The 13,139-nt window shown below is 45.8% G+C and overlaps 1 annotated feature.

Moving 5' to 3' along the window:
* Window positions 2,644-3,560: an enhancer, noted in NCBI's record as "H3K27ac hESC enhancer chr14:78257054-78257970 (GRCh37/hg19 assembly coordinates)". NCBI's record gives its function as "activates a minimal SCP1, AML or CMV promoter by ChIP-STARR-seq in primed H9 embryonic stem cells {active_cell/tissue: H9 hESC(primed)}" and the evidence as "EXISTENCE:reporter gene assay evidence [ECO:0000049][PMID:30033119]".

The following is a 13,139-nucleotide window of genomic DNA, read 5'->3' as shown; positions in this document are numbered from 1 at the left end:
GTCCGAATATAAATGATTAAAGCTCAGATCATTTCTTCTTCATGTCTTCCCATGTTACAACAGTGGTACAGGCTTAATGTGAAGACTCAAACTTGCTTTGTTGTTGTTGTTGTTGTTGTTATTGTTGTTTTTGAGACCGAGTCTCATTCTGTCACCCAGGCTGGAGTGCAACGGCACCATCTCGGCTCACTGCAACCTCTGCCTCCCCGGTTCAAGCGATTCTCCTGCCTCAGCCTCTCAAGTAGCTGGGATCACAGACACCTGCCACCACGCCCGCCTGATTTTTTGTATTTTTAGTAGAGACAGGGTTTCGCCATGTTGGCCAGGCTGGTCTCAAACTCCTGGCCTCAAATGATCCATCCGCTTTAGCCTCCCAAAGTGCTGGGATTACAGACATGAGCCACCACAGCCAGCTTATGATGTGAAGAGTCAGACTTGTATTTTCTTTTTTTTTTTTGGAGATGGAGTCTCACTCTGTTGCCCAGGCTGGAGTGCATCGGCACAAACTCGGCTCACTGCAACTTCCGCCTCCCAAGTTCAAGTAATTCCCCTGCCTCAGCCTCCCGAGTAACTGGGATTACAGGCATGCACCACCATGCCTGGCTAATTTTTGTATTTTAGTCGAGACTGGGTTTCACCATGTTAGCCAGGCTGGTCTCAAACTCCTGACCTCAGGTGATCCGCCCGCCTCAGCCTCTCAAAGTGCTGGGATTACAGGTGTGAGCCACAGTGCCCAGCCTGAGAACAAGGATTTATCTGCCTCTGACTGCTGAGGAATCCCAGAAAAGGCACATCACCTAAGCCCTTCAGAGTTCTTATCTGTTATAGGGAAAGGAAAAATTCCATGTGAAAAACAGCTGATAAGGCCAGGAGCCATGGCTCATGCCTGTAATCCCAGCACTTTGGGAGGCAGAGGTAGAAGGTTAGCTTGAGCTTAGGAGTTTGAGACCAGCCTGGGCAACATAGGTGAGACCTTGTCTCTACTAAAAAAAAAATTAAAAGAAAAAAATGTTTAAAAGAACAACTGATATATTTCAATAAGGGTAAAAAGTATGGTTGGTTGGTTGGTTTTTTGAGACAGGGTCTTGTTGTATTGCCCAGGCTAGAATGCAGTGGCGCAATCATGCCGCACTCACTACAGCCTTGACCTCCCAGGCTCAAGTAATCCTCCCACCTCAGCCTCCCAAGTAGCTGGGACTACAGGCGTGGTGCATCATGCCCAGATAATTTTTGTATTTTTTTGCAAAGACAGTGTCTCCCTATGTTGCCTAGACTGATCTCGAACCCCTGTGCTCAAGCCATCCTCCCTACTCAGCCTCCCAAAGTGCAGGCATGAGATGGAGTCTCGCTTTGTCATCCAGGCTGGAGTGCAGTGTGTGATGTCGGCTCACTGCAACCTCCACCTCCCAGGTTCAAGCGTTTCTCCTGCCTCAGCCTCCCAAGTAGCTGGGACTATAGGCACACACCACCATGCCTGACCTCAATCACAGCCACGTGAATTCTTTTTTTTTTTTTTTTTTTTAGATGTGGTCTCTGTCGCCCAGGCTGGAGTAGTGCAATGGCACAATCTTGGTTCACTGCAACCTCCACCTCCCGGGCTCAAGAGATCCTCCCACCTCAGCCTCCCAAGTAGCTAGGACCACATACACACACCACAATGCCCAGCTAATTTTTTTTTTTTTGTATTTTTGATAGAGATGGTATTTCATCAAGTTTCCCAGGTGGGTCTCAAACTCCCGAGCTCAAGCAATCCACCTGCCTTGGCCTCCCTAAGTGCTGGGATTACAGGCATAAGCCACCTTGCCCAGCCAACCACATGAATTCTTTTTTTTTTTTTTTTTGAGATGGAGTCGCGCTTTGTCATCCAGGCTGGAGTGCAGTGTGCAATGTCGGCTCACTGCAACCTCCACTTCCCAGGTTCAAGCGTTTCTCCTGCCTCAGCCTCCCAAGTAGCTGGGACTACAGGCACATACCATCACACCTGGCTAATTTTTGTACTTTTAGTGGAGACAGGATTTCACCATGTTGGCCAGGCTAGTCTCAAACTCCTGACCTCAAGTGATCTGCTCACCTTAGCCTCCCAAAGTGCTGGGATTACAGACATGAGCCACCACACCCAGCCAAACCATGTGAATTCTTAACCAGAATTCTAAACTAATTTGGGGGGTAGAATATATATATATATACACACACACACACACACATACATGCATATATATACACATACATGCATATACATACACACACACACATATTTGTTTACATCATATATATATATACACACACACCCCACATGTATACTGTTATTTATCATGCACTCATTATTGGCAGATGCTAGTCTAAGTGCTTTAAATATATCTTCTTATATAATCCTCATGAGATATGAGATAGACATCATTATTATCCTCATTTTACAGTTGAGCAAAATAAGGTGGAGGGTTAAATAACTTGTCCAAGACCATTCTGTAAGGATAGGGCTGGGATTCAGCCCCATGAGCCTGACTCCAGAGCCCACACTCTGAAATGGGCAGCCTACTCTGATCATAGATATATTTAGAGAAAGAATCATTTGAGGCAAATGTCTGGGGCCAAAGTAAACTATACCCTGAGGTCTTAACAGGAAATAGGTCAAGTGGCTCAGTAGTAATCCTTTATTACCAACCATTAATTGACTACAGCTCAAAACTAAGAAGCAGTATGGACTGGAAGTTAGGCAAGCTGGCTTCCAGTCCTGCCCATGCCACGAATTAGCAACTGACCTTGGACCAGTCCTTTCCCCTTCCTGGGCCTCAGGATCCTCTTTATAAAGTAAAGGAATTTTACAGGTAGAGCTCTAAGGGCACTTCCCACTCTCACATTCCATGATTCTTTGAGCCTGTAAACAATGTCCCACTTCCTATAGAGTATGTCTCCACTCACCAAAAAAATGACACTGGGCCAGGTGTGGTGACTCACATTTGTAATCTTAGCACTTTGGGAGGCCAAGGAGGGTGGATCACTTGAGGCCAGGAGTTTGAGACCAGCCTGGGCAACATAGCAAAACCCCGTCTCTACTAAAAATACAAAAATTAGCTGGGTGTGGTGGTGCACTTATGTAGTCCCAGCTATTCGGGAGGCTGAGGGAGAAGAATCGCTTGAACCCGGGAGGCAAAGATTTCAGTGAGCTGAGATTGCATCACCGCACTCCAGCTTGGGCAACAGAGAGAGACTCTATCTCAAAAAAAAAAAAGACACTGCTGTGGATGGCACAGGTGAGTCAGCCCCTGTGCTGAACACTCTCTGTATCTTCCCAGGTGCTCTCTCCACCCTTCCTTCCTGCCCTGTGCCTCAGGAGGCTGACCTGCAAGAGCTGCATCTCTAGGCTCCCCTACTCTCTGTCTTCTAGCTGGGTTTGGCCAGTGGTAGCATGAGCAGATGGGAAGGCAGAGGAGGGAGAGACCTGGATGTCTGTATATATACACACTCACACACCAGCTGCTGCTGCCCTTCCTGCTGGTGTTCGGGCAGTGGCTGGGTTTCCCTCCTGTCACAGCTCCTGTCTGGATGCTTCTGCCATACCCCCAGCTGTCAATGGGCTTCAGGAACACCATTCTCACACCATGTCCCTTTAAACCTAGGGGTGGTGATGGCTTCCTGCTGCTGCCAGTACCCGGTAGCTTCCCCATTGCTTGTTGGTTCCTTTAACTGCCCATAACTCTGCTAAGTAGTCCATTCATTGAATATTCTGTTCTGCATGTAAACCCCTGAATGTGCCATCTGTTTCCCATAGGATCCTTACTGCTACAGCCCCAGGAGCGATGGCTTTCCTCCTCGTCCTTGCTACCATGACACTGGAAATTCCTTCATGTGTCATGAGCCAAAACAGGAAACCTAGAGCTCCTTTAAGCGTCCTATAGGCATCCCCACCAAGCCCTACCACTAGCAGAGGACCTAGAAATAAGCACTTTTAGGGCAAGAGAGCGGGAGTCTCCAACACCAATGTTTTATCAGCCAGAAGTCTAGAAAAACTTTTGAGAGAGGAAAACATGGAGTCAGTCTGGGCACAGTAGCTCACAATCCCAGCATTTTGGGAAGGGATTACAAGCCTCAGCCACTGTGCCCAGACTGACTCCAGCAGGAGAATTGCTTGAGCCCAGAAGTTCAAGACCAGCCTGGGCAACATGGTGAGAGCCCATCTCATTAAAAAATAAAACAAGATTAACCATGTGTGGTGGCACACACCTGTAGTCCCAGCTACTTGGGAGGCTGAGGCAGGAGAATTGTTTGAGCCCAGGAGGTTGAAGCTGCAGTGAGCCAAGATTGCACCGCGGCACTCCAGCCTGAGTGACAGAGTGAGACCATGTCTCAAAAAAAAAAAAAAAAAGGACTCACACACAAAGACCTGGGTTTGAATTCTGACTCAGCCACATACTGACTGAGACTACCTTCACCTTAGATTCTTCATCTATAAATTCGGAATAATTATATCTGCCTCTGAAGTTTGCTGCAAGGATTGAATAAGACAACCTACGTGAGCACTTAGCACAGTGCCTGGCACATACTAAATAGATGCCCAGTAAATGTTAATTCCCTTCCTATTAGGCAACTGGGAAGCCATGAAAGCAATTGGATGAGGTAAAGTGGCTTCCCCAGAAATACCATACCACCTCCTGCAGTTTTCCAGTGGAAGAGCCAGGCACTGGTATGGCAGTGAACCAAGGCGGAAAGAAAAGAACAACTCATCAGAAACCAGCCTTTTGTCAGAAAAAAAAAAAAATGCTCAAACCCAACTGCAGTGAGCAATTAGGGAATAATAGCTAAATACTTTCTATAATTAGAGAGAGAGGAACCATCGCAAGCGATCCAAGTGCCTTTGTCTGCACTGACCCTCTGCACCCAAAGAAGATCTTGGCCCACGTGGGACGGATCCTGGGGATCTTGGCATCTTTTTTAGTTTTTTTGAGAAATTAAATCTCACATCACCCTTCTGTTGCCAAGAAAGGAGATCAGGAAGTGGTGATGACCCTCTCATCAGAAAAGAAAGGCAAATGAAGATGTGACACATGCCAAGGGGGAATTCAATCCTGAAAGAGGAGGGGTCTTGCAATCTGCCCCGAGAGCTACTAACATGATGATGGCACAGGGAATGAGTTGGCCTCTCTGTAGGAGGAAGAGGCCAATTGTCTTTGGCCTCCACCTTTTTTGCCAACATCTGAGGAGAAGTAAATCCTTACTTTTTTTTTTTTTTTTTTTTTTTGGAGATGGAGTCTCATTCTGTCACCCAGGCTGAAAGTGCAGTGGCCTGATCTCGGCTCACTGCAACCTCTGCCTCCTGGGCTCAAGCGATTCTCCTGCCTCAGCCTCTGTCCCTAAATAAATAAATAAATACAGGAGATAGCCAAGAAGGAGGCACCAAGATCTGGCAAAATTCGTGAAGGTGATACCTGAATGACTAAACTTTGGAAAACATTGCCAAGCTCAAATATGCTGTGACAGTCATACTCAAATAGGGTGATCTTTGTCCCCCAGGGGATCTTTGGCAATGTCTGGAGACATTTGTGATTGTCATGACTTGGGAGATGCTACTGGCATCTAGTGGGCAGAGGTCAAGTGTGTTGTTGGACATCTTACAATGCACAGAACTGGCCTTCACAACAAAGAACTGTCCAGTTCCAAATGTCAACAGTATCACTGTGGAGAAACCCTGGTCAATCTATCAGGTGAAGTCCGAACCGAGACTTGCCATGAACATGACCTCCTTCCAGCTGGCCCCTCACCTATTCCATGCTGTCTGCCTCCTTGCTCCTTTGCTGGCCCTACCCCTGCTCCCTTCTGTCTACTGCGCACTCCAAATCTTGCCCAGCCTTTAAGGTCAACTCTGTGACTTTCTTTTTTTTTTTCTTTTTGAGACGGAGTCTTGCTCTGTCACCCAGGCTGGAGCGCAGTGGCGCGATCTCGGCTCACTGCAAGCTCCACCTCCCGGGTTCACGCCATTCTCCTGCCTCAGCCTCCTGAGTAGCTGGGACTACAGGCACCCACCACCCCGCCCAGCTAATTTTTTTTTGTATTTTTAGTAGAGACGGGGTTTCACCGTGTTAGCCAGGATGGTCTCGATCTCCTGACCTTGTGATCCACCCATCTCGGCCTCCCAAAGTGCTGGGATTAGGGGCATGAGCCACCATGCCCGGCCGAACTCTGTGACTTTCTTCTAGCCACTCTAGCACACACTGATCTTGCATTGGTCAAAGCTTTTTTTTTTTTTTTTTTTTTTTTTTTTTGAGATGGAGTCTCGCTCTGTCACCCAGGCTGGAGTGCAGTGGCACAATCTTGGCTCACTGCAGCCTCCGCCTCCCAGATTCAAGCAATTCTCCTGCCTCAGCCTCCTGAGCAGCTGGGCTTACAGGCACCCACCACCACATCCAGCTAATTTTTGTATTTTTAGTAGAGACGGGGTTTCACCATGTTGGTCAGGCTGGTCTCAAACTCCTGACCACGTGATCTGCTGCTGCCTCAGCCTCCCAAAGTGCTGGGATTACAGGCATGAGCCACCGCGCCCAGCCAAAACCTTTTTTATTACTCAGCCATGATTACAGGCTTGGTTTTGTTTTGTTTTGTTTTGTTTTGTTTTGTTTTAAGACGGAGTCTCTCATTACCCAGGCTGGAGTGCTGGAATGCAGTGGCGCAATCTCAGTTCACTGCAACCTCCACCTCCTGAGTTCAATTGATTCTTGTGCCTCAGCCTCCAGAGTAGCTAGGATTACCGGCGTGCATCACCACACTCAGCTAATTTTTGTATTTTTTAGTAGAGACAGTGTTTCGCCAGGCTGGTCTTGAACTCCTGGCCTCAAGTGATCTGCCCACCTCGGCCTCCCAAAGTGCTGAGATTACAGGCATGAGCCACCGTGCCCAGCCTACACTGCTGCTTTTTTAACTATAGGTTCTTAGAGCAGGATTCTGTTGGGTTTTTGTTTGTTTTGGGGTTTCTTTTTTGAAACAGAGTCTCACTGTTTCCCTGGCTGGAGTGCAGTGACATAATCATGGCTCACTGCAGCCTCGACCTTCCAGGCTCAGGAGGTCCTCCAGCCTCAGCCTCCCAAGTAACTGGCACTACAGGCCAGCATCACCACACCCAGATAATTTTCTTTTTGTAGAAATGGAATCTCCCAATGTTGTCTAGGCTGGTCTTGAACTCCTAGGCTCCAGTGATCCTCCCACCTCAGGAGTACTCATTATAGGCATGAGCCACTGCGCCCAGCCAGTTCTGGTTTGTTGACCCCTGGGAGGCTTTCTAGGGATCATGAACTCCTCAAAATTGTATGTATTTGCTTAGATATATGTATCTTTCTAAGCATAGAATCATAGCAGCCAAATAAATGTTCGAAGGGGTCAATGAATAGTAAAAATCAGTCCTATATGTCAACAACTTTCACATTCATTTATTATGCAGCTAGTATCTAGCACAGTGCTACCCACACATGAAGTTGGTTCCAGGAAAACAACCATTTGGAAGAACACATACGTGCATACATAAATGAACACATCCAATAAAATGTTTCCTGGGAGAAAAAGAAAGAAAAACAAAGAAAAAGAAGACTATAAAACAGTACTGGGAAATATTTCAGCTCCCCAATTCTCCTGTACAGATTTACTTCCTTAGGAGTTTTCACATTTTTATAACTATGTATTTCATCAGACTTTTCACTCTCATAAACCAAAGTAGATTGTATTGAAGCTGAAAAACATATTTCTTCATTTTGATTGGTATTTACATTCCAAAAGACTGTCAGTTAAATCCACCTTTATTCCTCCTGTATGCTTTTGTTTCAAACACTCAGAATCCAAGTAGTAGCTGTTTGTGAGGCTAAGAGAGAAAAGGAGACAGCCAGGCTTTTGTTTCTAAACCTGGTGAGCCTTTATTGCAGCACGATGCGCTGGCTTTCCAATCCAACCCTGGAGGCGGGTCATCCCATTTATGTCAGGGGCCCTGTTGCTTAGGTAAGGGGGTAAGATGCTAAGAGGATTTGCTTTCTTCTGCATGTTCCCCTATAAGGCTTTCAGGAAGATATTCTGTTTCTTCTTTTTTTTCCTTCTTTTTCAATCTGGATTTTAGTTTTAGCGGGTACATATGCAGGTTTGTTACCTGGGTATACTGCGTGATGCTGAGGTATGGGGTATGAATGATCCCGTCACCCAGGTACCCAACAGTTTTTCAACCCTTGCCCCCTCTCTCCTCCCCGACTCTAGTAGTCTCCCGCATCTACCATTGTCATCCTAATGTCCATGAATATCTGATGTTTAGCTTCCACTTTCAAATGAGAATATGTGGTATTTGGTTTTTTGTTCCTGCCCTAATTCGTTTAGGATATTCTATTTCTTGGACATTGGAGTGCTGCAAACTGTTTTTTGGGGAGAAAACTAGATCAGTTTTGAAGTCTAGGATGGCTGCAATTCAGTTCTGTGAGAGGCAATGGAGAATAGTTGTTTTCACTCCATTGCCCCCTGCCCAGAAGGATCATTTATTGTGTATTTACTGTGTTCCAGGTATTGAGCCACAGTTAAGCACCAGGCTGTGTTCCAAGGATACTGATATAAATAAGATGATGTTCCTGCCCTACTGAGAAGCCCATAGTTCAGTAGTAGGCACATTATTTTTTGTTGTAATTGTGCAGTTAATTTAACAAGTGATGTGCGGTGTGAAGCAAAGTTAATGGGAGGCCATCATTTGGACCAGCCTCCTGCACTGGGCCCCATCAGACCAGGCCAAACAAGAATGGAGTCACATGTGCTAAGTGCCACACAGTGAAACTAAAACAGGCCAGTTTTCCTTAAAAAACAAAACAAAATAGGAGGGTCCAGCTGGGCATGGTGGTTCACTTCTGTAATCCCAGCACTTTGGAAGGCCAAGGTGGGGGACTTGCTTGAGGTCAGAAGTTCCAGACCAACCTGGCCAAAAAGCAAGACTCCATCTCTCTTTTAAAACAAAACAAAACAGAAGATTCCAGTCAACCGGAGTCAGCATAATAAAGTAATCACCTCTGTTTTAACTCTTTAAGGAAAGTAACTTGAAAACAACCAATCTCCATTTTGTTCTCTGTTTTTGCTTTCCTTTTTTTTTTTTTTTTTTTTTTTTTTTTTGAGACAGGGTCTCACTCTATCACCCAGCCTGGAGTGCACTGGCACAATCTCAGCTCACTGCAACTTCTGTCTCCCAGGTTCAGGTGATTCTCCTGCCTCAGCCTCCCGAGTACTTGGGAATACAGGTGTGCACCATCACACCCAGCTAATTTTTGTATTTTTGGTAGAGACAGGGTTTCACCATGTTGGTCAGGTTGGTCTCGAACTCCTGAACTCAAGTGATCTGTCCGCCCTAGACTCCCAGAGTGCTGGTATTACAGGTCTGAGCCATCGCGCCCGGCCCATTTTTGCTTTCTTCAGCCCTCTTCTACCTATAAAGCCAACCTCTCCTGCTCAGCTCATCAGAACACTCATTACTCATTCTATTTTCTAGAATGAGGTGTTGGCTGATTCTATAATTGCAAATAAAAACCAATTAAGATCTTTAAACTAAATTTGTTGTAGTTTTGTCTTTTAACAGTAGACATGTGTGTAAAGTAATGCTAGGAGTGGGCGTGAGCCCCTCTGTTCCTGTTACGATAAAGCACAATGGGGGGCGGTGGCTCATACCTGTAATACCAGCACTTTGGGAGGCCAAGGTGGGAGGATCGCTTGAGCCTGGGAGATGGAGGCTACCATGAGCTGTGATCATGCCACTGCACCACACAGCCTGGGAAACAGAGCCTTGTCTCAAAAATAAATAATTAATTTTTTAAAATAAAAATAAAAAATACAATGGAGCACAATGAAGTTCAGGATTCAGCAGCTGGGTTCCAGTGTGGACTCTCCCACTTGCTAGATGAGAGGCCCCAGGCAAGTCCCTGATGGTGTCTGCTACAAAAGGAGCAATTGCAATTCCTTTTAGAAGTCTGGAAGAATATACACCAACTTAAAATGAACATTGTCTCCGAGTGGTAAGATTACAAATTTTTTTTATTTTTTTTGCTTGCTCCTATTTTTAAAGTTTTCCATGGAGGAACAAAATCCTTTTAAATCAGAAAAAGAGAATGACCAATTTTTTTTTTCCTTTGAGACAGAGTATCACTCTGTCACCCAGGCTGGAGGGCAGTGGCGCGATCTCGGCTCACTGCAACCTCTGCTTCCTGGGTTCAAGCAATTCTCCTGCCTCAACCTCCCAAGTAGCTCAGATTACAGGCACACGCCACCACACCCAGCTAATTCTTGTATTTTTAGTAGAGACAGGGTTTTGCCATGTTGGCCAGCCTGGTCTCGAACTACTGACCTCAAGTGATCCACCTGCCTGAGCCTCCGAAAATGCTGGGATTACAGGCGTGAGCCACTGGGCCTGGCCGATAATCACTAAATTTTTTTTTTTTTTTTTTTTTTTTTTTTTTTTTTTTTTTTGAGACGGAGTCTCGCTCTGTCCCCCAGGCTGGAGTGCAGTGGCGCGATCTCGGCTCACTGCAAGCTCCGCCTCCCGGGTTCACGCCATTCTCCTGCCTCAGCCTCCCAAGTAGCTGGGACTACAGGCGCCCGCCACCACGCCCGGCTAATTTTTTTTTTGTATTTTTAGTAGAGACGGGGTTTCACCCTGTTGCCCAGGATGGTCTCGATCTCCTGACCTCGTGATCCGCCCGCCTCGGCCTCCCAAAGTGCTGGGATTACAGGCGTGAGCCACCGCGCCCGGCCAATAATCACTAAATTTTTAAAACATGGCTTAATCCTCAGAAATATGCTGCAAGATACACTCTTTTTTTTACTTTCTTTTTTTTTTTTTTTTTTTTGTATTTTTAGTAGAGATTTCTCCATGTTGGCCAGGCTGGTCTCAAACTCCTGGCCTCAAGTGATCCACCCGCCTCAGCCTCCCAAAGTGCCAGGATTACAAGCAGGAGCCACTGCGCCCAACCAAGATACACTCTTTTAAAGCATTTTCCCTCCTCTTCCCCTATTCACTCTCTCTCTTTCTATCAGTCAGTCTGGCAATGTTCCTCAAAGGTTAGTTTTTAGGACTACCTACTTCAAAATCATTTGGAAGGCTTACTAAAATACAAATTCGAAGCCCTACACCCAGATTCAAGTTGTCTGGAGTGGGACCCAGAAATCCATACTTTTTTTTTTTTTTTCTTTTTGAGACAGGGTTGCTCTATCGCCCAGGCTGGAGTGTGGTGGTACCATCACACCTCACCTAAGCCTCAACCCCCATCCTCAAGCGATCCTCCTACCTCAGCTTCCCAAGTAGCTAGGACCACAGGAGTGTGCCACCTAGCTAATTTTGTTTATTTTTTGTAAAGATGGGGTCTCCCTGTGTTGTCCAGGCTGGTCTCGAACTCCTGACCTCAGGTGATCCTCCTGCCTTGGCCTCCCAAAGTGCTGGGATTACAGGCGTGAGCCACCATTGCCTGGTCCAGACACCTATATTTTAACGTGCTCCCTAAATGATTCTTTTCTGCACCATAAACCTGAGCAAATGAAGCATTCTATTTACACTAATTTTCCAGACAGCTAAGGCTTCCATATATGAAACTTTAAAAAATGTTTTACACATACCTCTAAAATAAGTTTGCTAAATAGAGTTTAAGGTTTTCTTGGGGACTAAGGCTCGCATCCATGTGATGGTGTGATATGATATTAAGATGCATTCATTCCTTCAGGGCCTGTTAAGTTGTGAGACTATCTCCCCCTCACTAATGGGGTCTTGGGCTGCAATACCTTCATAGTTCTATCAGTTTTGTACTGTTATTCATTACCTAGTATCTGTTATTTCTTACTTTTAAAAATCATTCACTTACCACCTTATAGCATGCAAATTGCCCCACTAAAAGAAACCAGGGCCTCTTACAGAAATGAGTCATTCCAGATCTGGGGATGGAAATGTACAACATGATCCTGGAATACCTTTTTTTTTTTTTTTTTGAGATGGAGTTTTGCTCTTGTTGGCCAGGCTGGAGTGCAATGGTGCAATCTCAGCTCACTGTCACCTCCTGGGTTCAAGCAATTCTCCTGCCTCAGCCTCCCAAGTAGCTGGGATTATAGCCGCCCACCACCAGGCCCAGCTAATTTTTTTGTATTTTTAGCAGGGACGGGGTTTCACCATGTTGGCCAGGCTGGTCTCAAACTCCTGACCTCAGGTGATCCACCAGCCTCGGCCTCCCAAATTGCTGGGATTACAGGCATGAGTCACCGCCCCCAGCCTGGAATACCTTTTATACCAGAAAGCAGGGAAGCCATCAAAGACTAATGGGGTTGGTTTAAAAAGGACTCAGAAGCTAACATGGAGAACCTTCTACTTGCTAAAAGGAGGATAATTTGAGCATCAATAGGCTAAAAACATCACTGGATGAAAGCATATTAAGTTTATTTAACTCTGTGAGTTTATAACGTTACCAAAAAAATTTTATCAGTCACCACTGAAGCATGCTAGGAAAGCACCTAATTTTTTTTTTTTTTTTTTTTTTTTTTTTTTTTTTTTTTTGAGACGGAGTCTCGCTCTGTCGCCCAGGCTGGAGTGCAGTGGCGGGATCTCCGCTCACTGCAAGCTCCGCCTCCCGGGTTCACGCCATTCTCCTGCCTCAGCCTCCCAAGTAGCTGGGACTACAGGCGCCCGCCACTACGCCCGGCTAATTTTTTGTATTTTTAGTAGAGACGGGGTTTCACCGTTTTAGCCGGGATGGTCTCGATCTCCTGACCTCGTGATCCGCCCGCCTCGGCTTCCCAAAGTGCTGGGATTACAGGCGTGAGCCACCGCACCCGGCCGCACCTAATTATTTTTAAAACTGGTCATTAAAGAGAAAGAATCAGGTATTTATTTTCTCTTTCCTTTGTGATCTCTTCCAAAGAGCACCTAAATAGTTAAAGAAAAAATTCTCTTGGAATATGGAGCATTCTAACTACTAAATGGAAAAGAAACAATAGAATAAGAACATCGCCAATTTGCAATCCCTAATGATGTATGGGTGTGGCAATGATCATAAACAGTTGCTAACATCACAAGAAAGACCATCAGACACTGGATCCTTCAGATAGAAGTAAATGCCTCCCCTTGATAAGTTTCTTCGTCCCTTCTCCCACTGTACTGCACAAACAAA

This window comes from Homo sapiens, chromosome 14 (assembly GCF_000001405.40).
Source record: "Homo sapiens chromosome 14, GRCh38.p14 Primary Assembly".
Taxonomy (NCBI): Eukaryota; Metazoa; Chordata; class Mammalia; order Primates; family Hominidae; genus Homo; species Homo sapiens.
Note: the sequence above shows the minus strand (reverse complement) of the source record. Positions and strands in the feature narration are given on the sequence as shown.